The sequence below is a fragment of the Homo sapiens genome, chromosome 11 (genome assembly GCF_000001405.40).
Source record: "Homo sapiens chromosome 11, GRCh38.p14 Primary Assembly".
Classification (NCBI taxonomy): Eukaryota; Metazoa; Chordata; class Mammalia; order Primates; family Hominidae; genus Homo; species Homo sapiens.
The window spans coordinates 33,149,628-33,171,120 of NC_000011.10; the positions used below are offsets into that span (position 1 = coordinate 33,149,628).

General features: G+C 40.4%; 1 protein-coding gene and 1 long non-coding RNA gene across 4 annotated transcripts in view, besides 2 other annotated features; one reads left to right on the forward strand and one right to left on the reverse strand.

The window, feature by feature from the left end:
• Nucleotides 1-11,853, reverse strand: part of CSTF3 (cleavage stimulation factor subunit 3) — a 76,897-nt gene extending 65,044 nt beyond the window's left edge. For all 3 annotated transcript variants that reach the window (NM_001326.3, NM_001033505.2, NM_001033506.2), the window contains exon 1: nucleotides 11,672-11,853. In NM_001326.3, the coding sequence (NP_001317.1) occupies nucleotides 11,672-11,698 (27 nt within the window). In that variant the 5' untranslated portion in view covers nucleotides 11,699-11,853. The remainder of the gene's footprint in view (nucleotides 1-11,671) is intronic.
• Nucleotides 10,215-11,082: an enhancer, noted in NCBI's record as "H3K27ac hESC enhancer chr11:33181388-33182255 (GRCh37/hg19 assembly coordinates)". NCBI's record gives its function as "activates a minimal SCP1, AML or CMV promoter by ChIP-STARR-seq in naive H9 embryonic stem cells {active_cell/tissue: H9 hESC(naive)}" and the evidence as "EXISTENCE:reporter gene assay evidence [ECO:0000049][PMID:30033119]".
• Nucleotides 11,818-12,237: an enhancer, noted in NCBI's record as "active region_4574". NCBI's record gives its function as "activates an Ori minimal core promoter by ATAC-STARR-seq in GM12878 lymphoblastoid cells {active_cell/tissue: GM12878}" and the evidence as "EXISTENCE:reporter gene assay evidence [ECO:0000049][PMID:35858748]".
• CSTF3-DT (CSTF3 divergent transcript) overlaps nucleotides 12,030-21,493 on the forward strand; it is a 29,942-nt gene continuing 20,478 nt past the window's right edge. The window contains exon 1 of the long non-coding RNA NR_034027.1: nucleotides 12,030-12,154. This is a non-coding gene — a long non-coding RNA (CSTF3 divergent transcript). The remainder of the gene's footprint in view (nucleotides 12,155-21,493) is intronic.

A 21,493-nucleotide genomic window follows, 5' to 3' on the forward strand; every position in this document is an offset into this window, starting at 1 on the left:
GCTCCCAGTACTTTGGAAGGCCGAGACGGGCAGATCACTCGAGGTCAGGAGTTCAAGACCAGTCTGGCCAAAATGGTGAAACCCCATCTCTACTAAAAATACAAAAATTGGCCAGGCATGGTGGCTTACGCCTGTAATCACAGCACTTTGGGAGGCCGAGGCAGGTGGATCACCTGAGGTCAGGAGTTCAAGACCAGCCTGGCCAACATGGTAAAACCCTGTCTCTACTAAAAATACAAAAATTAGCTGGGCATGGTGGTACACGCCTGTAATCCCAGCTACGTGGGAGGCTGAGGCAGGAGAATTGCTTGAATCCAGGAGGCAAAGGTTGCAGTGAGCCGAGATCATGCCATTGCACTGCAGCCTGGGCGACAGAGCCAGACTCCGTCTTGAAAACAAAACAAACAAACAACAACAACAACAACAACAAAACAAAAATTAGCGGGGCGTGGTGGCAGGCCCCTGTAATCCCAGCTACTTGGGAGGCTGAGACCGGAGAATTGCTTGAACCCGGGAGGCGGAGGTTGCAGTGAGCCAAGATCATACCACTGCAGTCCAGCCTGGGCAACAGATGGAGACTCTGTCTCAAACTAAAAAAAAAAAAAAAAAAAAGAAAAGAAAAGAAAAGAAAACAGGGCAAGTTTCCAATGCCCTTCTGTAACAAACTGCTTAGTGTAGCAAGAACAGCTGTCCCATGCTTATGCATCCCAAAAACTTATTACTATCAAAAACTATCAAAATCCAGTTTTGCTTCTGAAATAATAATCTATAATCCTAATATCATTTTTCAGGCGATGTTAATGGGGAACAGGCAGGGACCCCAAATCAAAGGAGTAGAGCAAAAACTGGACTAGTTATCAAGACATACATATTACCAATGACTTAATTTTATCTTCTCTGTGAATAACACAACCATGTACAACTGGCTAAAAGAAAGAAGGTAGGGGGGCCAGGCACAGTGGCTCACGCCTATAATCCCAGCACTTTGGGAGGCTGAGGCAGGTGGATCACTTGAGCTCAGGAGTTGGAGACCAGCCTGGCAACATTGCGAAACCCCATCTCTACAAAAAACGCAAAAATTAGCTGGGTGTGGTGGCAGGTATCTGTAATCCCAGCTACTTGGGAGGATGAGGTGGGAGGATGGCTTGAGCCCAGGAGGTGTTGGTTGCAGTGAACCAAGATCACACCACTGCATTCCAGCCTGGGCAACAGGGCCAGACCCTGTCTCAAAAAAAAAAAAAAGGTTTGAAAGTAGAATAAGCATATTATGTATTTAAGCTTTTATAATTTCTTTTTTAGTACTGGCTTGAGACATGATTCACATACATACAATTCACCCATCTGAAGTGTATAACTCAATAGTTTTTATTTATGAATATATTCAAGTTTACAGAACCATCACACATTTAAAACATTTTATCACCCCAAAGAGAAATCTGTACCTGTTAGCAGTCACTCCCATTTCCCTCCAATCCCTAAGCCCTGGGCAACTACTAATCTATTTTGTCTCTAGGGATGTGCCCATATTTAATGTAATCATACAATATGTGTTCTTTTTGTTTCTAGTTTTCTTTTTTCTTTGAGACAGGATCTCACTCTGTCACCCAGGCTCGAATGCAGTGGCACAATCATGGCCCACTGCAGCCTCAACCTCCTGGGCTCAATCAATCCTCCCACCTAGACCTCCCGATAATGGACTACAGGCATGTGCCACCATGCCCAGCTAAATTTTATAATTTATAGAGATGGGGTTTTGCCATATTGTCCAGGCTGGTCTTGAACTCCTGGGCTCAAGCAATCCACCTGCCTCGGCCTCTCAAAGTGTTGGGATTACCACCGTGAGCCACCATGACTGGCGTTGTTTTGGCTTTCAGTTAGCGTGTTTTCAAAGTTCATGTTTTTGCATATACTAAGTACTTTACTTTTGACAATATTCCATTATGTGCATATCCTACATTTGTTTATGTATCAGCCGATGGACTTTGGATTGTTTCCAGTTTTGGCTATTATGAATAATGTTACTATGAACATTAGTGTGTAAGATTTCTTTGTGGAGTTCATTTTGTGTGTTTTCCTTTTTCTTGGATATATACCTAGAAATGGAATGGCTAAGTAATGTGGTAACTCTTATGTTTTACCTTCTGAAAAACTACCAGACTTTAAAGGGGCTGTACTATTTTACATTTCCAGTATAAGGGGTTCTAATTTCTCCATATCCTTACCAACATTTGATATTATCTTTTTTATTACAGCCATCCTTGTGGGTCTGAAGTGATATCTCATTGTGGTTTTGATTTACATTTCTCTGATGGCTATCAAAGTAGAGCGTCTTTTCATTTTCTTATTGGCCATTTGTACATCTTCTTTGGAGAAATGTCTGTTCAAATATTTTGCCCATTTAAAAACTGGACTTATCAGGAGTTTGAGACCAGCCTGGCCAACATGGTGAAACCTTGTCTCTACTAAAAATACAAAAAATTAGCCAGGCATGGTGACAGGCACCTGTAATCCCACCTACTCAGGAGGCTAAGGTGGGAGGATCCCTTGAGCCGGCGGGGAGGGGCAGAGGTTCCACTGAGCCAAGATTGTGCCGCTGCACTCCAGCCTGGGCGACAGAGCGAGACTATGTCTTGAAAAAATAGAAATAAATAAAATAAAAACTGGACGTATTATTATTACTTTTTAGAGGTATAGTTTTGCTATGTTGCTCAGGTTGGACTTGAACTCCTGGGTTCGATCAATCCTCCTGCCTCAGCCTCCCAAATAGCTGGGACTACAGGCGTGCACCACCGCACCTGGCTGGGTTTTTTCATTAATGAATTTTTACATGTTGGAGTTACAAATCCCTTATCAGACATGATTTACAAAAACTGTATCCTATTCTGTGGGATGCCTTGCCACTTTCCATGTTTAACCGTCTGTTATGTGAAGCTAACTAACTCAGAGAAATAGAACTTACAATCTTGGCTTCACAGACATGATGTACTATTCCAACTATTCTCAAACATTTTGTAAAGGATTGCTTCACATTCTTAAAAACTGAGGAGCTTGGGCCGGGCGCGGTGACTCACGCCTGTAATCTCAGCACTTTGGGAGGCCGAGGTGGGCGGATCACAAGGTCAGGAGTTCGAGACCAGCCTGGCCAATTTGGTGAAACCCTGTCTCTACTAAAAATACAAAAAATTAGCTGGGTGTGGGCACATGCCTGTAGTCCTAGCTACTTGGGAAGGTGAGGCAGGAGAATCGCTTGAACCCGGGAGGTGGAGGTTGCAGTGAGCTGGGATCGCACCACTGCACTCCAGCCTGAGCAAGAGTGAGACTCCGCCTCCAAAAAAAAAAATAACAATAATAATTGAGGAGCCCAGAGGGATTCTATCATTACTCACATAAGAAATTAAAACAAAAAATTAAAGTATTTAATTCACTTAAAAATAATAAATTCCTTAAATATGAATATAAATATTTTACTGAAGGAAATTTTCCAAAATAAAAAAAAAAGTCAAAAGAATGGCACCATTTTACATTTTCATGATCTTTTAAATGTCTGGCTGAATAGAAGACATTATCTGCTTCTTTCAATCTGTTACAATATATTGTTTTAGATGAAAAATATGAAAAAATTTTAGCCTCACAGTTACGTAGTTGGAAAAGGGAGGAAAGACCATTTTTAACAGCCTTTACATACAATTGTGGATAGGTGATGTAGCCTCTGGAAAGCCCTATGAGTTATGCTTTATTGAAACTCCTAACCACTTTCTTTCTATATGAGCTCATAACTTTTATTAGGAGGTTGTTAATGGGAAGGTGGGATGTGAAGAGGTGACAGACACTATCATGTTAATGACTGAAATAATATAATTTAAGGCTGGGCACAGTGGGTCACAACTGTAATCTCAGCACTTTGGGAGGCTGAGGTGGGAGGAGTCCTTGAGGCCAGGACGTTGAGGCTGTGGTGAGCTATGACCACGCCAATGCACTGCAGCCTGGGCAACAGAGCAAGATCTCATCTCTAAAAAAAATAGTAATAATAACAATAATAATAATAATCTAATTTCTTCCATTTCGACCATGCAGGTAAAACAGACAAAAAAAAAAAAAAAGATAATTCTCTTTCTCCAAATAGCTACTTTCATGATAAATTAGAAGGGTGTTATATTAGGAGCCATACTGAAATTAAGTTAAAGTAGGGATCAGTTAAAGTGATAACACAAAAGTATGAATAGAGGGGGAGAAAGATGGTAGACTGAAAGATTTAAGACGATGTAAGCTTTTTACTATGACCAACAGAAAAAGCAGAGTTGAGCCTCAACCCTGGTTTTATAATGAGTATTTCTCGCTATTCAGGGTAATAACTAAATATATGGGGGTGGGGAGCAGGTGGGCAGGAAAAATCAGTAAAATACCATCCTCAAATATCTGCCATTTTTTCATCCACTTATTTATCAAGAATATATTTTAAAACAACCAGCTATCATCTAACTCTGTGGTCTGCAAGCTTTTATTGACATAAAAACCACTGTGGTACCTGTTTCAAACGAAGATTCTCAGCCCCACTGAACAGTTAGGTTTGAAATCAGAGTCTACGTATCTATACTTTTATAACGCACCTAATTATGACATAAATGGGCCATGGGCTCCACTTTAAGAAATATGTACCACCTCATCTATCTGTTCCACAAATGTTTTCCAAATGTCACGTTTCATTAAAAATAAGGTGGCAACAAACCTGTCATTCCAAGTGAATTTTTTGCTAAAATATTAAGAAAACTGAATATACTATATATTTGAAGTCTTAAGTCTCTCTCTGTGGTTAACTTTTTTTCAAAATTAAAAGTAGACCGGAGTAGCACTCCGTAAGACTTTCTTTTTTTTTTTTTTTTTTTTTTTGAGATGAAGTCTCACTCTGTCACCTAGGCTGGAGTGCAGTGGCTGTACCTTGGCTCACTGCAACCTCCGACTCCCGGGTTCAAGTGATTATCCTGCCTCAGCCTCCCAAGTAGCTGGGATTACAGGTATGCACCACCACACTCAGCTAATTTTTGTATTTTTAGTAGAGACGGAGTTTCACCATACTAGCCAGGCTGGTCTCAAACTCCTGACCAAGTGATCCGCCAGCCTCAGCCTCCCGAAGTGCTGGGATTACAGACAGGCGTGAGCCACGGTGCCGTGCTGAGACTTTCATAGAGGAGTAACCTAACTGATTCCATTCATATGCCCAGATAATAAAGAACTATATGTGACAGGTGTCACAATGAGACCGGATATTAGGACCAGATGTCAGCTTAGTTCTGTGTTCCTTTACCAATGCAACCAAACCCTACTTCATGTTTGTTGTGAATGAAACTGAACATGTATCCTACAATACAAAACTAATCCCTCCAAATCATCCATAGATTAAAAATCTAAACATACAAACAACTCAAAAACTTAAAAAAAAAAAGATCTTGGGCCGGGCATGGTGGCTCACACCTGTAATCCCAGCGCTTTGGAAGGCCAAGGCGGGCGGATCATGAGGTCAGGAGATCAAGACCATCCTGGCTAACACAGTGAAACCCCATCTCTATTAAAAATATAAAAAATTAGCTGGGCGTGAGGGCGTGGTGGCGGGCACCTATAGTCCCCGCTACTAGGGAGGCTGAGGTAGGAGAATAGCGTGAACCCAGGAAGCGGAGCTTGCAGCGAGCCGTGATTGCGCCACTGTGCTCCAGCCTGGGCGAAAGTGCAAGACTCTGTCTCGAAAAAATAAAAATAAAAAAATTAAAAAAAAAAAAAAGATCTTGGCTTAACATATTAGTTCAAATAATTATATTTACCATTATCTGCTTAGTAAACTTGCATATTCATCCCCTAGGAAACAAATAGCTACAAAATATAAATTAAAATCTTAACCGTTTGGAACTTAAAAGATGAGACTTCTTTCAAATATGAATAATCCAGATTTAATACACTAAATAAACTAAGTCAAACATTAGAAAAACATTAATTAGGACACACAGAAGCTTTGCCCTTCTGATTTTATTCAATATTTACTATGTATCCTAAGTTGTCCATTAATCTAAAGATAGTTTAAACAACTGCCAACTCAAATCCCTTTTTTAGCCCAATTCTCACACCATTACCAACTGTCCAACAAAACAAAACAAAAAGACTCAAATTCACAGGTAGGTCCTATCTAAAGAGAAAGATTCAGAGACATGGTAGAAAAGCTTAAAATCACCGTCACCAAATCGAAGATTTAAAAAAAAAAGCTTAAAATCATGAATTGGTATGGGTAATTGTCCAATAGGTAAAAACACCCAAATACAGATTTTGCCCTTCTGAAGGTCTATCTGGGATGTAAATGCCTACATTCCCTGAAATAATGTTGAAGGAATGCAGTATCACCTAACACAGTACCTTTCTGCTGTATCTCTAAGAAAAACCCAATTCTCATTCTTTAAGCACAGAGCAACTTCTCTTAGGAACAACTGTCCCCAAACAGAATATTTGATAATGCTCCAGTTTCCTAAGAAATATCAACAATAAAGATCAAATCAATTTGCCTGCCCAAAACTGTTACACCAAACAAGCATCACTAAAAATAGGAGGCAGAAAACTAGGAAGGGCTGTTACAGAAAGATTTTGGAAAAAATAAATCCAAAAAAACACATTGTCCAACACACATAGTTGGCTCTTTCTCTGCCTCTTCTAACCCCTACACATATATGCACCTTGACTAAAATTGGCGATACTGTTACTTCTAAACAGCTTAAGTACTAATGTTTACCTAACGAAATAAACCAGGTTTCAGGTTTCAATGCTGTGGGTGTTTCAACTTTTTCTTTCCTTATTAATAATAAGTATATAATAGGACACATACTCTTCATTATTTTCTAAATCTTCCCAAAATTATTTTTCACTAAAAACACGTATTTATGAGCCTAAATGCTCCTTTGTTAAGAACTACCAGCAATTAATTTGCGCTTCTTAGAATCATGTAGCTTTTCCAAGCTGAGGATCATTTGGCTTGTATTTTAGGCCTTCCAAATTCTAGGATAAGTTATACATTATTTAAAAGGTGAAATATGGCTGGACTCACACCTGTAATCCAACAGTTTGGAAGGCTGAGGCAGGAGGATCACTTAAGTCCAGGAGTTCAAGACCAGCCTGGGAAACACAGTGAGACCTCGTCTCTACCTAAATAGTAAATAAATAATTTTTTTTAAAAGATGCAAACTTAATCCATTCATTTACTGAATACCTTTAAGCATCAAAATATTATTTCTTAGGTCTTTAAGACATAAAGATGAATAACATCATCTCTTCAACTAAAGAAGTTCAAAACCCAATGGAAAATGTCTAAATAACAGCATATTAAATGCCTTAAGAGTAGTGCACAAGGTTAAATAGACCTAAGAATGAGATCAAAAGTTGAATCAGGCATTAAAAAAAACAAACACCACAGGCTGGGCGCAGTGGCTCACGCCTGTAATCCCAGCACTTTGGGAGGCTGAGGCAGGCAGATCACTTGAGGTCAGGAGTTCAAGACCAGCCTGGTCAACATGGTGAAACACCATTTCTACTAAAAATACAAAAAAATTAGCCGGGCATTGTGGCGTGTGCTTGTAATCCCAGCTACTCAAGAGGCTGAGGCAGGAGAATTGCTTGAACCTGGGAGGCGGAGGTTGCAGTGAGCCGAGACCGTGCCACTGCACTCCAGCCTGGGCAACAGAGCAAGACTCCATCTCAAAAAAACAAAAAACAAACACAAAAAAACAAAACCATGAAATAAATAATACAGCCATAATTCCACACAGAAATCATATGTTTGTTAGGGGGGTAAACCTATATGCAAATAGTTTTTTCACCATTAAACTGGCAAAAACAATAAGCAAGGAGCTTCAGAAGAGATCCTTGAACACTATAAGGTAATTCCAATAGCTCTCTACATGCAAAATTGAACTTCCCTACTAGAGTTGAAAAAAAAATCACAGCAATAAACCTTTAGCAGTGATTTTGCTTGTCTGCAATAATTTCCCTCTGTTAGGGGGCACAAATCACAAATCTTAGCACCAAGAGAAAAATGACTATCCATATATTTTAGTAATAAATTTAAGATAGTATCAGGTTTATTCTACAAACTTGAACTTCAATGCTACTAAAAGGCTAAATCTACACCTGCATCTTGTAGGACTCTTTGTCCACCCCATCCCTTGGCATTTTTCCAAAGCAAATCCATGATTCAATGGTTTTAATTTTTTTCTTATTATTCTTTAGTCTCATTGAGTTTATTTTTCTCATCCATGATTTCAGGTTATTTTGGATACTCTCTTTTCCTCCAGATTTTCAATATTGTCTTAAATATCAAGCAAGGTACAGCTCATTCATATTTTCCATCCTTAAGGTGTTATTTAATGGTTATTTTAGTTGAAGCTGAATACAGTATCTAGGATTTGCTTCGAAGTAATGGGGGTGAGAGAAGCAAATGAAGTCATGGAGGAAACAAGATTAGCCATAAATTGAAGCTCTATGACAGGTACTTCATATATTATACTGTTTTTCTTACATGTTTGAAATGTATTATTAAAAAGTTAAAGAAAAGGCTATATGAAGATGACTTCCTTGTTGATAATCAGATGTCTAAATTGCCTTTCAGACTTAAGGAAAAGATATAAGAACCACCAAAAAGGTTTGGACAAGTTGAGTGTGCAAAAGAAAAATGGCTATCACTGATACTAACACACTAAGAGAAATCCATGAATCCATAGCGATACTTAATCTTTAGGAAGAAAAAAAGTCTTTTTTGCAGAAAGTATGAGCCAGTAAACAGACACAGACCAACAGAATTGTGGGTTTTAAAAACAAAACAAAACCACCATTTGCTACTTCCAATGTAAGAGCTGATTTAGTCAAGATTTATCAATTGATAACTAGGTATAAGGTGATTTTAAAGAAAACGGTTATCAACTCACAGATTATTAACTGCAAAGGGGAACATGACCCTTAACAATGAGATCACCCTAAACCAAGTGATCAAACTTAACCATCCTAACAGAACCCAGCAGAAGTACCTGCTAATGTAATGATATAATGTTAAGTATTCTATCCAAAAATACTTAACCCAAATATCAAGGCTGAGTATAGACCTAACTGTAAAGTTTTCAGGAAATACAGATGAAGGGACAAGTTAAATGACATCATCAACCCCCAAACCAAAAGCAAGCAAGCAAACAAACAACAAAAAACAAATACACCCAGAAAAGCAGTGTTAAGTGTCCTTGACACTTCGAATAGACAACAGCCCCAGGGGAGAAGAATGGTGAGACTACTTAAGAGACAGAAGTAAATGATTCAATATGTAAATCTAGATTGATTCTGGTTAAAAAAAAAATCACATTCTTGGGACAAATGGGGAAATTTAAAGAACTAGATTTTAGAAATACTATTTTCTTGGGTGGGGAAATGGTATGGTGGTTATGTAACAACATTTTGCTCTTATTTATAAGAGAATGCTGAAATACTTGGGGCTGCAATGTGTCAAAATACTTTCAAATAAACATGCGTGGACCAGGCGTGGTGGCTCGTGCCTGTCTGTAATCCCAACACTTGGGGACACTGAGGTGGGTGAATCGCTTGAGCCCAGGAGTTCCAGACCAGGCTGGGCAACATGGTGAATTCCTGTCTCTACAAAAAAAATACAAAAATTAGGCCAGGTACGGTGGCTCACGCCTGTAAATCCAGCACTTTGGAAGGCAGAGGTAGGCGGATCACTTGAGGTCAGGAGTTCGAGACCAGCCTGGGCAACGTGGCAAAATCCCCGTCTCTACTTAAAATACAAAAATTAGCGGGGCATGGTGGTGGGCGCCTGTAATCCCAGCTACTGGGGTGGCTGAGGCAGGAGAATCGCTTGAACCGGGAGGCGGAGGCTGCAGTAAGGCGAAATCGCGCCACTGCACTCCAGTCTGGGCGACAGAGCAAGGCTCCATCTCAAAAAAAAAAAAAAAAAAAAAAAAAAAATTAGCTGGGCATGGTGGCGCGCGCCTGTACTCCCAGCTACGGAGGAGGCTGAGGTGGCAGGATCACAGAGCGCAGGGAGGTCGAAGCTATGGTGAGCTGTGATGGCGTCACAGCACTCTAGTGTGAGTGACAAAGACTCTGTTCTCAATCTATCAGCATGGGGAGATAAAGCAAATATGGCAAGGCTTTCAGCTGTTGATTCCAGGCGAAGAGTTGTCCTACAGGTGTTCACTGCACTTTTCTTTCAACTTTTCTCTATGTTCTAAACTTTGCACAATAAAACCTTTGGGAGAAATTATTTTTCTATAAATTTTCACCACCATCTGTCCCACTGAAACACCACAGTTCTAAAACATTCAAGAGGTCATGGTAACATTTCCGTGTCTTTGTAATTTTAGATAAATTCTAAGAATTAACAATGAATTTCGAAAACTTTCAATGAAACCTCAGTTCATTAGTCCTTCACTTTCAGATAACAAATACTAGATCAGAAAAGGGGTAAACAGTTTTGATACAGTAATTTTAAGACTTTGCATGCTTGGGCATGCTAACACTATGTAAAATGTAAATAGTGCGAAGATTTCTGGACTGAAACCAGTCCTCGGGCAAACACAAAACAATTTAATCAAACTGCCGACATAATGAAATCTACAGTCTTACAGACTATGCAATAGAACGCTCCTATTTTGCCTCATCTCTGCCAACCTCCAATAACATCTTCCACGTTATAAGCTAGGGAACCTGAAAAACGAAAACCTAAGTGCATGTCGTTGCTATGGCAATGGGAAATTTCAGGAAATTGAGACTGCAGGCTACCTAGCCTCCATTTTAGAAACTGTATTTATCTAAACACACCAGGACTTAGATCGAAAAACACATTTAATGGCATTTTTCATAACTATTTAGCTTCCTCTTTCACACTAAAAGGTAAATACTATCCTACAAAATTCTGAATACAAAGAGCAAAAGAAACAAATCACACTGATCTAACCTAAAAGTGTGAATTTTAAAATATTTAGTTGTCACTCATATTTACTATTAAAACAGATGCTTTTATTTACAGTGGCCAAAACAGACTTCTCATTTTCAACTTATACCTGCAATGTTTATGTAGCTGGAAAAATGAAAACGAAATGTGGCTAAAAGAAAAGAAAACGAAAGAAAGCCACAAAATTCCCAAAACCTCAGCATAACTTGCTTCTTTCTTCACTCGCTCTCATTAAGTCTTAATTCTCCAGATTAGCTTTGTCTCAAATATTTCTCAAACTAGTAACCTATTTCTGGGTACAGTATATTTGGCGGGGTAAAAGAAACACTGTCAAGTTTTTCTAAAACGTCGGGTGCACGTTAAAATAATTCCTATCCACTCTAATACCAAAACGATATCAAAGGAAAGCATCCCATCTGGAGTAGTCCCATGAATCTAAATAGGACGAAGCAGCCTACCGCTATTGTCTAAATCAAGTATTTACTCGTATTCATGCCTAAGAGAGAGAAGTAAAAAAAAAAAAATTAAATCTTAGATCTTGCTCCCCATTCCCACCACTCTTCTATATACCCTGTCCCCCGGGTTCACTAGACCCAATTCCTTCCTCAGCCGAACATGTCTGGAGCAGTCGGAGGAACAGACGTGGAGAAGAGGTCGCCACGAGGCCCCACCACTCTCCTTCCTCACCTGCTCCGTGGCTCCGTCTCCTGACATGGCCTCAGCTGATTACAACGTGCGCACTGACCGTCGATGGGAAGCTAGAAAAGAAAAATTAAACTAAAAACCACCCCCAAATCAGTAAAGTTACCCCCTGCCCAGCTGAGCCAGACCGCCAACACCAATCGCCACCGCCCACTCAAATATGAATTAAAATGGCTGCGCCCCTGCCGGCCGAGGAGGAGGTGTGTGGCTTCCGCATTAACTTCCGGGGCAGTGGGCGGGGCTAATTTCGCGACTCTGGTTATTCCGAGCGTGCAGAAAGCAGCGAGATCCCGGGGCGGGCCCAATTCCTGGGCTGACGTCACTACCCTGGCTTGGAGAGGCTGTTGCTGAGCCGGCTCCAACCGGCTGGAAGGCGGGAAGCTGTTTCGCCTGGAGGCTCGCGCGCTTTTTGGAATTCAGTTATCAAGCTTTAGAGCCTGGCTACTCACAGTTGAAGCCTGATTGCAGGTCAGCAATGCTAAACGTTAAATGCCTCTTATATTTAGGGGATAAGGACTCCGTGGAGGTTTTCTCTGGTCCCAGCTCCTGCTTTTTACTTTTCTTGGGGGTGGGAGGGATAGATCAAGCCCCCATTAATTTTTACTGCCACCGTCGACTCTTGTGTAGAAAGCTTTGAAGTCTGAGACCTGGGTTTTCAGCTCAACATCTCAGCTTGGTTCCTTGACTGCAAAGTAGGTATAATTGTTTGTAGCCCAGACTGCTTGGATTTTAACGAAGATAAGTAACTCTGGTAATTAAACTTCGTACCTCAGCTTTCTGGCCTATAGATGGGAATAATAATAGTACCTGCAAGTGAAATAAATTATACATAGAAAAGTGTTAGAACAGTACCTGGCATTAAGATTAAATGAGATTGACTGGGCGCGGTGGCCCACGCCTGTAATCCCAGCAGTTTGGGAGGCCAAAACGGATGGATCATTTAAAGTCAGGAGTTCTAGGCCAGGTGCGGTGGCTCACGCCTGTAATCGCAGCACTTTGGGAGGCTGAGGCGGGCGGATCACAAGGTCAGGAGATGAGACCATCCTGGCTAATACGGTAAAACCCCGTCTCTACTAAAAATACACACACACACAAAAAAAAATTAGCCGGGCGTGGTGGCGGGCGCCTGTAGTCCCAGCTACTCCGGATGCTGAGGCAGGAGACTGGCGTGAACCTGGGAGGCGGAGCTTGCAGTGAGCCGAGATCGCGCCACTGCACTCCAGCCTGGGCGGCAGAGCGAGACTCCGTCTCAGAAAATAAATAAATAAAGTCAGGAATTCAGGACCAACCTGGCCAACTTGGTGAAATCTCGTCTCTACCAAAAATACAAAAAAAGTAGCCGGGCGTGGTGGTTTGCGCCTGTAGTCCCAGTTACTCGGGAAGCTTAAGCAGGAGAATCGCTTGAACCCGCGAGGCGGAGGTTGCAGTGAGCCGAGATTCCAGCCTGGACTACAGAGCGAGACTCCGTCTCAAAAAAAATAAAAAATAAAAAATTAAATGATACTAAATCTTCTCAAACTGCTCTTCCATTTAAGCGTCATCGTTAGATGTCTGCAAGCATTTCTCGCCTACGGGGGTCCAATGCCCTAAAATAACCTAGTGAACTGTTCCCAGACTCGCCTTATTCTTTTAGGTCTCCTTTCCTCTGCTCAAACTTACACTTACTCCCTTTCCACAGGCTGAAATCTTACCCTTAAAATAATCAGACACATGAGCAAAAGATATGTATTAACAGATGTTCATTGCACCATCCAGCAATGGAGGACTGGTTAAAAATATCACAAGATTTATCTCTGCAATGGAATATCACACAGCAAACTGATGCTAATGTACGATGACTGACAGAAAGGCAACCACCGTATTAAATGAAGAAAAGCAGAATATGAAAGTGTTTTACGTATATATACTTACCACTTTAGCATCCTAATCTGAAAATCCAAAATCTGAAATACTCCAATGAGCATTTCCTTTGAGAGTCATGTCAGTGCTTAAAAAGTTAGATTTTGGAGCGTTTTGAGTTTTGGAACATTTAGGTTTTTTTTTTTTTTTCTCTTGAGGCAGAGTCTTGCTCTGTCGCCCAGGCCGGAGTGCAGTGGTGCGATCTCGGCTCACTGCACCCTACACCTCCCAGGTTCAAGCGATTCTCCTGCCTCAGCCTCCTGAGTAGCTGGGATTACAGGCGTGCGCCACCACGCCCGGCTAATTTTTGTATTTTTTCTTTTTCTTTTTTTTTTTTTGAGACGGAGTCTCGCTCTGTCGCCCAGGCTGGAGTGCAGTGGCACAATCTCGGCTCACTGCAAGCTCCCAAGCTCCGCCTCCTGGGTTCACTCCACTCTCCTGCCTCAGCCTCCCAAGTACCTGGGACTACAGGCGCCTGCCACCGCCCTGGCTAATTTTTTTGTATTTTTAGTAAAGAAGGGGTTTCACCATGTTGGCCAAGCTGGTCTGAACTCCTGGCCTCAAGTGATCCACCCAACTCGGCCTCCCCAAGGATTGGGATGACAGGCGTGAGCTAACGCGCCTGGCCCAGATTTTTGAATTAGGGATACTCAACCTGTTATAAATATATATATATATATATATATATATATATATATATATATATATATATATTTTTTTTTTTTTTTTTTTTTTTTTTTTTTTTGACACTGAGTCTCGCCCTTTCACCCAGGCTGGAGTGCAGTGGTGCGATCTCGGCTCACTGCAAGCTCTGCCTCCTGGGTTCAAGTGATTCTCGTGCCTCAGCCTCCTTAGTAGCTGGGATTACAGGCTCCCACCACCACACCGGGCTAATTTTTGTATTTTTAGTCGAGACAGGATTTCACCATATTGGTCAGGCTGGTCTTGAACTCCTGACCTCAGGTGATCCACTGGCCTTGGCCTCCCAAAGTGCTGGGATTACAGGCGTGAGCCACCACATCCAGCCTCAACCTGTATATAGCTTAAAAAAATTAAAAGTGGTTATATCTACATTGTGTGTCACATAAATTTACTCTTTTTATCTGTTTTCTGATTTTTCTTTATTGAACTGATGTAAGAACAACAAAGTCTTAAAACAGTATTCATACTCTTTCAAAGTTTGTCTCAAATGCCATTTTTTCCAGTTTGTTGTTTTGTTTTGACAGGGTCCCCCTCTGTCGCCCAGGCTGGAGTGCAGTGGCACGGTCTTGGCTCACTGCAACCTCTGCCTCTCAGGTTCAAGCGATTCTCCTACCTCAGCCTTCTGAGTAGTTAGGATTATGGGCGCCTGCCACCATGCCTGGCTAATTTTTGTATTTTTAGTAGAGACAGGGTTTCACCATGTTGCCCAGGCTGGTCTTGAACTCCTGGACTCAAGCAATCCGTCTGCCTTGGCCTCCCAAGGTGTTGGGATTACAGGTGTAAGCTATGGCGCCTGGCCCTCATTTTTTCCAGTGTTTTTAACAAATATAGAGATAAAAGTTTAAATAATAATGCAATGAATACCTGTATAACTACCACCTTGATTAACATTTTAGTGTGTTTGCTTTATATGTATGTATTTACGTACATAGTTTTTTTTTTGGCAGGGGGAGCCAGATTATTTTTTATTTTTATTTTTCTGCCTAGAGTCTTTTAGTATTACAGTTTGAGGTTTTGTTCACAGAATAATATGAAAATAAATTACAGACATTGTGACAATCCCAAAATGGTCAATTTGTATTTTCTGTGAATAATGACATTCTCTTCCATATTCACATAAGATATAAGGGGGCTGAGTGTGGTAGCTCACGCTTGTAATCCCAGCACTTTGGGAGGCCAAGAGGGGAAGATCACTTGAGCACAAAAGTTTGGGACCAACCTGGGCAACATCGCATGACCCCTCTACAAAAAATTTTAAAAATTAGCTGATTTTGGTGTCGCATGCCTGTGGTCCCAGCTGCTTGGGAAATGGGAGGATTGCTTGAGCCCAGGAGTTAAAAGTTGCAGTGAGCTATGATCACACCACTGCACTCCAGCCTGGGCAACAGAGAGAGACCCTGTTTCAAAAAATGTAAATTGATGATTAGAAAAAAATCATAAGTAGGCCAGCCACGGTGGCTCACGCCTGTAATCCCAGCACTTTGGGAGGCTGAGGTGGGTGGATCACAAGGTCAGGAAATCGAGACCATCCTGGCTAACACGGTGAAACCCCATCTCTACTAAAAAATACAAAAAAAAAAATTAGCTGGGCGTGGTGGGGGGGGCGCCTGTAGTCCCAGCTATTGGGGAGGCTGAGGCAGGAGAATGGCGTGAACCCGGGAGGTGGAGCTTGCAGTGAGCTGAGATCTCGCCACTGCACTCCAGCCTGGGAGACTGAGTGAGACTCCATCTCAAAAAAAAAAAAAAAAGAAAAAAATCATAAATAGAAAGATTTCCTCACAATAGCAATAACAACTATAAAACATCCAGGAACAGCTCTTTTCCTGGTCACCTATGACTTCCCAATTGCCAAATGCACTGGTCAGTTTTAGTCCTCTTTATCTTATGGGATTCTACCAGCAGTATTTGATGAAGTTGATCACTCCCTTCTTTTGGAACCTTTTTTTAAAAACACACACACACACAACAAAGTCTTAACAGTGAAAATAAAAATAAATAAATAAAACAAGGTCTTGCTTTCACTCAGGCTGGAGTGCAGTGGCACAAATCATGGCTCCCTGTGGCCTCAAGCTCAAGCAATCCCCCTGCCTCAGCCTCCCAAGTGACTAGGACTACAGGCATGCACTGCTGTGCCCAGCTAATTTTTAAGTTTTTTTGTAGAGATGAGGGTCTCGCTTTGTTGCCCAGGCTGATCTTGAACTCCTGGCCTCAAGTGATCCTGTTGCCTCAGCCTTCCAAAGTGCTGGGATTATAGCTATGAGCCACTGTGTCCGGCCTGGAAACATTTTCTTCACTCGACATCCAGAACACAAGTCTATTGGTTTTGCAACTACTTTTTTGCCCACAATTATGTGTGTGTGTGTGTGTGTGTGTGTGTGTGTGTGTGTCAGCCAACATCATTCATAAAACAAATACAACACTATTAACACATATATTGCAATATTTTTGTGACTATGAATTTTGTCAATTGCAATGTTTCCATGAATCCCCCAGGTGGCAGACAAATACAATTTCCATCTAACAATTAAACAAACTTGGTAAGAACATTGCTTCCTTATCATGAATCCTTCAGAAATATTAATCAGAATTTTAGAATACGGTCCATTTATCATATGATTAAGAAACTAACTTCTTATAATTTACCTGAGAGTTTTATTAGAAACATAAATGGAAATTATTTAATTGGTGAACAATCATTGTAATTAAACACTCTCAAAAATACATATTTTATGTGATTCATCATCCCAAGCACTTAGAAATGTATCTGCTGGCTATGAAAACTAGTTTTGGAATTTTCTTTGGAATCTGAAAACAAAAATCAATTAAACATCACTTATAATAAAGCAAAAAGCTCATAACCAACTGATGGAATTTTTATTTTTATTTTTATTTTTTTTTTTTTGAGACAGAGTCTCACTCTGTCGCCCAGCTTGGAGTGCAATGGTGTGATCTTGGCTCTCTGCCACCTCCACCTCCCGGGTTCAAGCGATTCTCCTGCCTCAGCCTACCGAGCAGCTGGAACTACAGGCTCATGCCACCACGCCCAGCTAATTTTTATATTTTTAGTACAGACGGGATTTCACCATATTGGCCAGGCTGGTCTCGAACTCCTGACCTCATGATCCACCCGCCTCGGCCTCCCAAAGTGCTGGGATTACAGGCGTGAGCTACCATGCTCGGCCTGGGATTTTTAAAATTCTTTGGAGATTTCTATAGTTATTTCTTATTTAAAACTCATGCATGTCAGAGTTAAAACTGCTCATAAAAGGCTGGGTGTCTGTTCTACTTGATATAATATATACACTTGCTATAAATACATTGTGTACTCTCCCCTCCTCTTTCTAACAGCTGTATTTTCCTAATGTTTCTTTATATTTTGATCTATTTTACAGAAAACGTTAACATGCCTGTGACTACAGCTATATAGAGGGACGGGCAAATATTTTAACAGCTTGTGTGAGAGGGACACAAATATATCTGGGATTTTATTTTTAAAGTATGTATAGCACTTCCAAATAATGAATTCCCTCTGTAACATGAGGAAACTGACTGGAATGACTATTGACTCATCTTCAATTAGAATGTTGGTTAAACACATCTTACACACATTTCCTAAATTTAATTGACTCTATTGCTTGAGTTTAAAATTATTTGAAAAATAAAATAACTGGAGATAATCGGTTGAAAAGCATGAGCATTGCTAAATTATCTTCATTATTCTAAATGTTTTTAAAGCTTTCTTAAATCATCAAAATATTAAAACAACATTGGAAAAAACAGAGAAAAAAGCTAATCATAATCTCACCACTTTGAAAAACTATTTTTTATTTCTCATAGTCCCTTTTTGTCTTCAATTACATGCATACACTTTTGTCCATTGTAGTGAATATTAGGCATATATAATTTTTATTAATGTGGAGGGCTATTTGGGGTTTCATTTTATTTATTTAGAGACAGGAGTCTCACTCTGTTGCCCAGGGTGGAATGCAGTGGCACGATCATAGCTCACTGCAGTTTTGAACTCCTGAGCTCTATCAAGGGATCCTCCTGCCTTGGCCTCCCAAAGTGCTTGGACTACAGGCGTGAGCCACCCTACCCCGGCCTATTTTTGCTTTTAAAAGATGTGGGACCTATGCTAACTAGTATGACATAGACTCTTCTGCCTCCTATTGTCCTCCTAAGAGAAGAAGCTAAATACCTCTGTCTAGGGTGGACACTTGAGTCAGAATCTACCCAGTAGATGCACTCCACACTGATGAATTAACAGTCTAACGTACTTAAAAGATTAATGCTCAAAGGAGAGAGAGAATATGTGGACACTGGTGTAGTCAGTCCTAGAATTGCCTTGGCTGTGAAATGGCTTGTAATTTTAAACCATATATGTCCTTACGGTCGAACCCTTTTTCCCTAAGACTGAATGAACGTTTGTTCTTTGGAACCCAAAGTGTCACACAACCACATTTTGACAAATTATCAATTCATGTCCTCTTTCCTCTTCTTTTTCTATGTTCACTCACCTTTTATGTGGGCCTGTTCACCTAATGATTCATTTGAAATAGAAGTAATTTTTAAAACCAGAAGTAATTTTTAAAAACAGAAATTTTTACCAACTCTGAAAACAACTTGGTGTTGTTTAAAAGTAATGAATATGTTAGAACTTTCCTTCCACAAGTTTCATTATTATTCTTTATCCTGGGAATTATATAAAGGATTTATTCATTTTCTAAGAGAAAAATCTATAATTCCATAAATTTACATAATTTAAAATGCCATGTCTGTTTTCACTACATGAACTTGACCCACAAAGGCCTCTCAGTAAAGTGTGTGTGCCTCATAATCTTTGGTGTGATAATACTCTGCACAGTAATACAATACTACTTCTATACTCAGTATGGTGACTTTCGTCCAAAGACTCCTCTAAATTCCTTTTATGAGGCAAAAAACACTTAGACTCTATGATGGTCATTTTATTGTTTACTACTAATAGTACACAGAGGATGGAATGTGCTATCTCTGGCACGAAGAGTTCTGCTGGAAGTTTAGAGAGAATAAAATGTCTTCATACTTCAACGACCAAAGAGAAAACACTTGTGGAAAAGAGAGCAAGCAAAGTTCCAAGAAGTATATATTTATTATCTCTGTGCTGGTTAGTTGGAACTCTTTGTCAATGAGGTCATAGTTTTTAATCCCGGTGTGGCTCATTTATCTCTACTAGTTTCCTTAATCATAACATGCACCCCTGACCCCAGCCAACTGCTTGACAAGGGTCTTTTCTTGAGCAAAATGGGGCCTAAAAAGAGAATAAAATAATCTGTGCAAATCCACCACTGTAATTGGAAAAATAATTTAAAATGTCCAATTAACAAAGAATTTATAGACTCATATTTTCGTCTAGACCTAGTTAGCAGTCATATACAGTAGTCTGCATACATAGGCACTGCCTATGTATACAGACCATCACGAGGTCAACAGATGGAGACCAGCCTGGCCAACATGGCAAAACCCCATCTCTACTAAAAATACAAAATTTAGCCGGGCGTGGTGTCGGTTGCCTGTAATCCTAGCTACTCGGGAGGCTGAGGCAGGAGAATGGTTTGAACCCAGGAGGCAGAGGTTGCAGTGAGCCCAGATCGTGCCACTGCACTCCAGCCTGGGTGACAAGAGCGAGACTCTGTCTCAAAAAAAAAAAAGAAAAAAGAAAAAAAATTGCTTGAAGCACATCAAATCCTACAGCAGTGAAGAAAAAATAATAATTTTTACTCCTTTGGCTACCTTGGTCACATAATCACTAGTAAAATAATTTGATGCCATCTATGTGTTGGAAAGGATGTAATATATTCCTTAGCATCTAACTTGGAAATACAACTACGTGAAAATTGGTTGATGACGATCACTGTAGTATTATTCAACAATAAACCTGTCGGACACAGTGGCTCACGCCTGTGATCCCAGCACTTTGGGAGGTCGAGGTGGGAGGATCACCTGAGGTCAGGAGTTCGAGACCAGCCTAACCAATATGGCAAAAACCCATCTCTACTAAAAATACAAAAATTAGCTGGGCATGGTAGTGGGCGCCTGTAATCCCAACTACTCGGGAGGCTGAGGCAGGAGAATTGCTTGAACCCAGGAGGCGGAGTTTGCAGTGAGCCGAGATCGTGCCATTGCACTCCAGCCGGGATGACATAGCAAGACTCTGTTTCAAAAAATAAATAAATAAAATAATAAACCAAAATGTAGGCTTTTCAGCAAACTAATTGAGTAATGATTTTTCTCTTAAAGGGAAATCCTAAAAAGAAATTCACTAAGGAAGTCAAATAAAAGAATGTACAATTTTTATACATGACAAAAACCAACAAACATAACCTGCTGTATTAGAAGTTTTTTGTTTTGGACTCAAATTTTTGTGTAGGTATATATTGACATACAAGAAATTAGTCACATTGTGTCACTGTATGATCCTCACCTATAAAATAATTTGCCTTCACATTTTGGGAATCTAAGTCTTGTGAGTGACAAGTTTGGGGACCGTTTATGCTGTCTTCTTACTCCTACTTGCACCAGGGACCATTACCATAGCTCTTTTTAGAAAGGAAAAGTAGTTGTTTCTTCTTCTTGCCTCATGAAAGTTCCATATGCCCTATTCTTCATCATGTCTGAAAACGTAAGTAGAATTATTTAAAAGCCTCATGTTTAAATATTTAATCTGCAAGCCATTATTGAGGTCCTGCTCTGTATCTTGAATCTTTTGTACACTGTGATTCAAATATAAGTGGCATACAGCCTCTGCCTTCCAGAAACTCGGTGTAGATTTAAATGCCTAGTTACTAAATTCCTTTAAAAAATAAATAAATTCGGCCGGGCGCAGTGGCTCACGCCTGTAATCCCAGCACTTTGGGAGGCCAAGGAGGGCAGATCATGAGGTCAAGAGATCGAGACCATCCTGGCCAACATGGTGAAACTCCGTCTCAACTAAAAATACAAAAATTAGTTGGGCGTGGTGGCATGAGCCTGTAGTCCCAGCTACTCAGGAGGCTGAGGCGGGAGAATCACTTGAACCTGAGAAGTGGAGGTTGCAGTGAGCTGAGATTGCGCATTGCACTCCAGCCTGGCAACAGAGCAAGACTCTGCCTCAAAAATAAATAAATAAATAAATAAATTCTAGACTTCTCTTTCATGAAGGTATTTAAACATTAGGGTGCAACTATA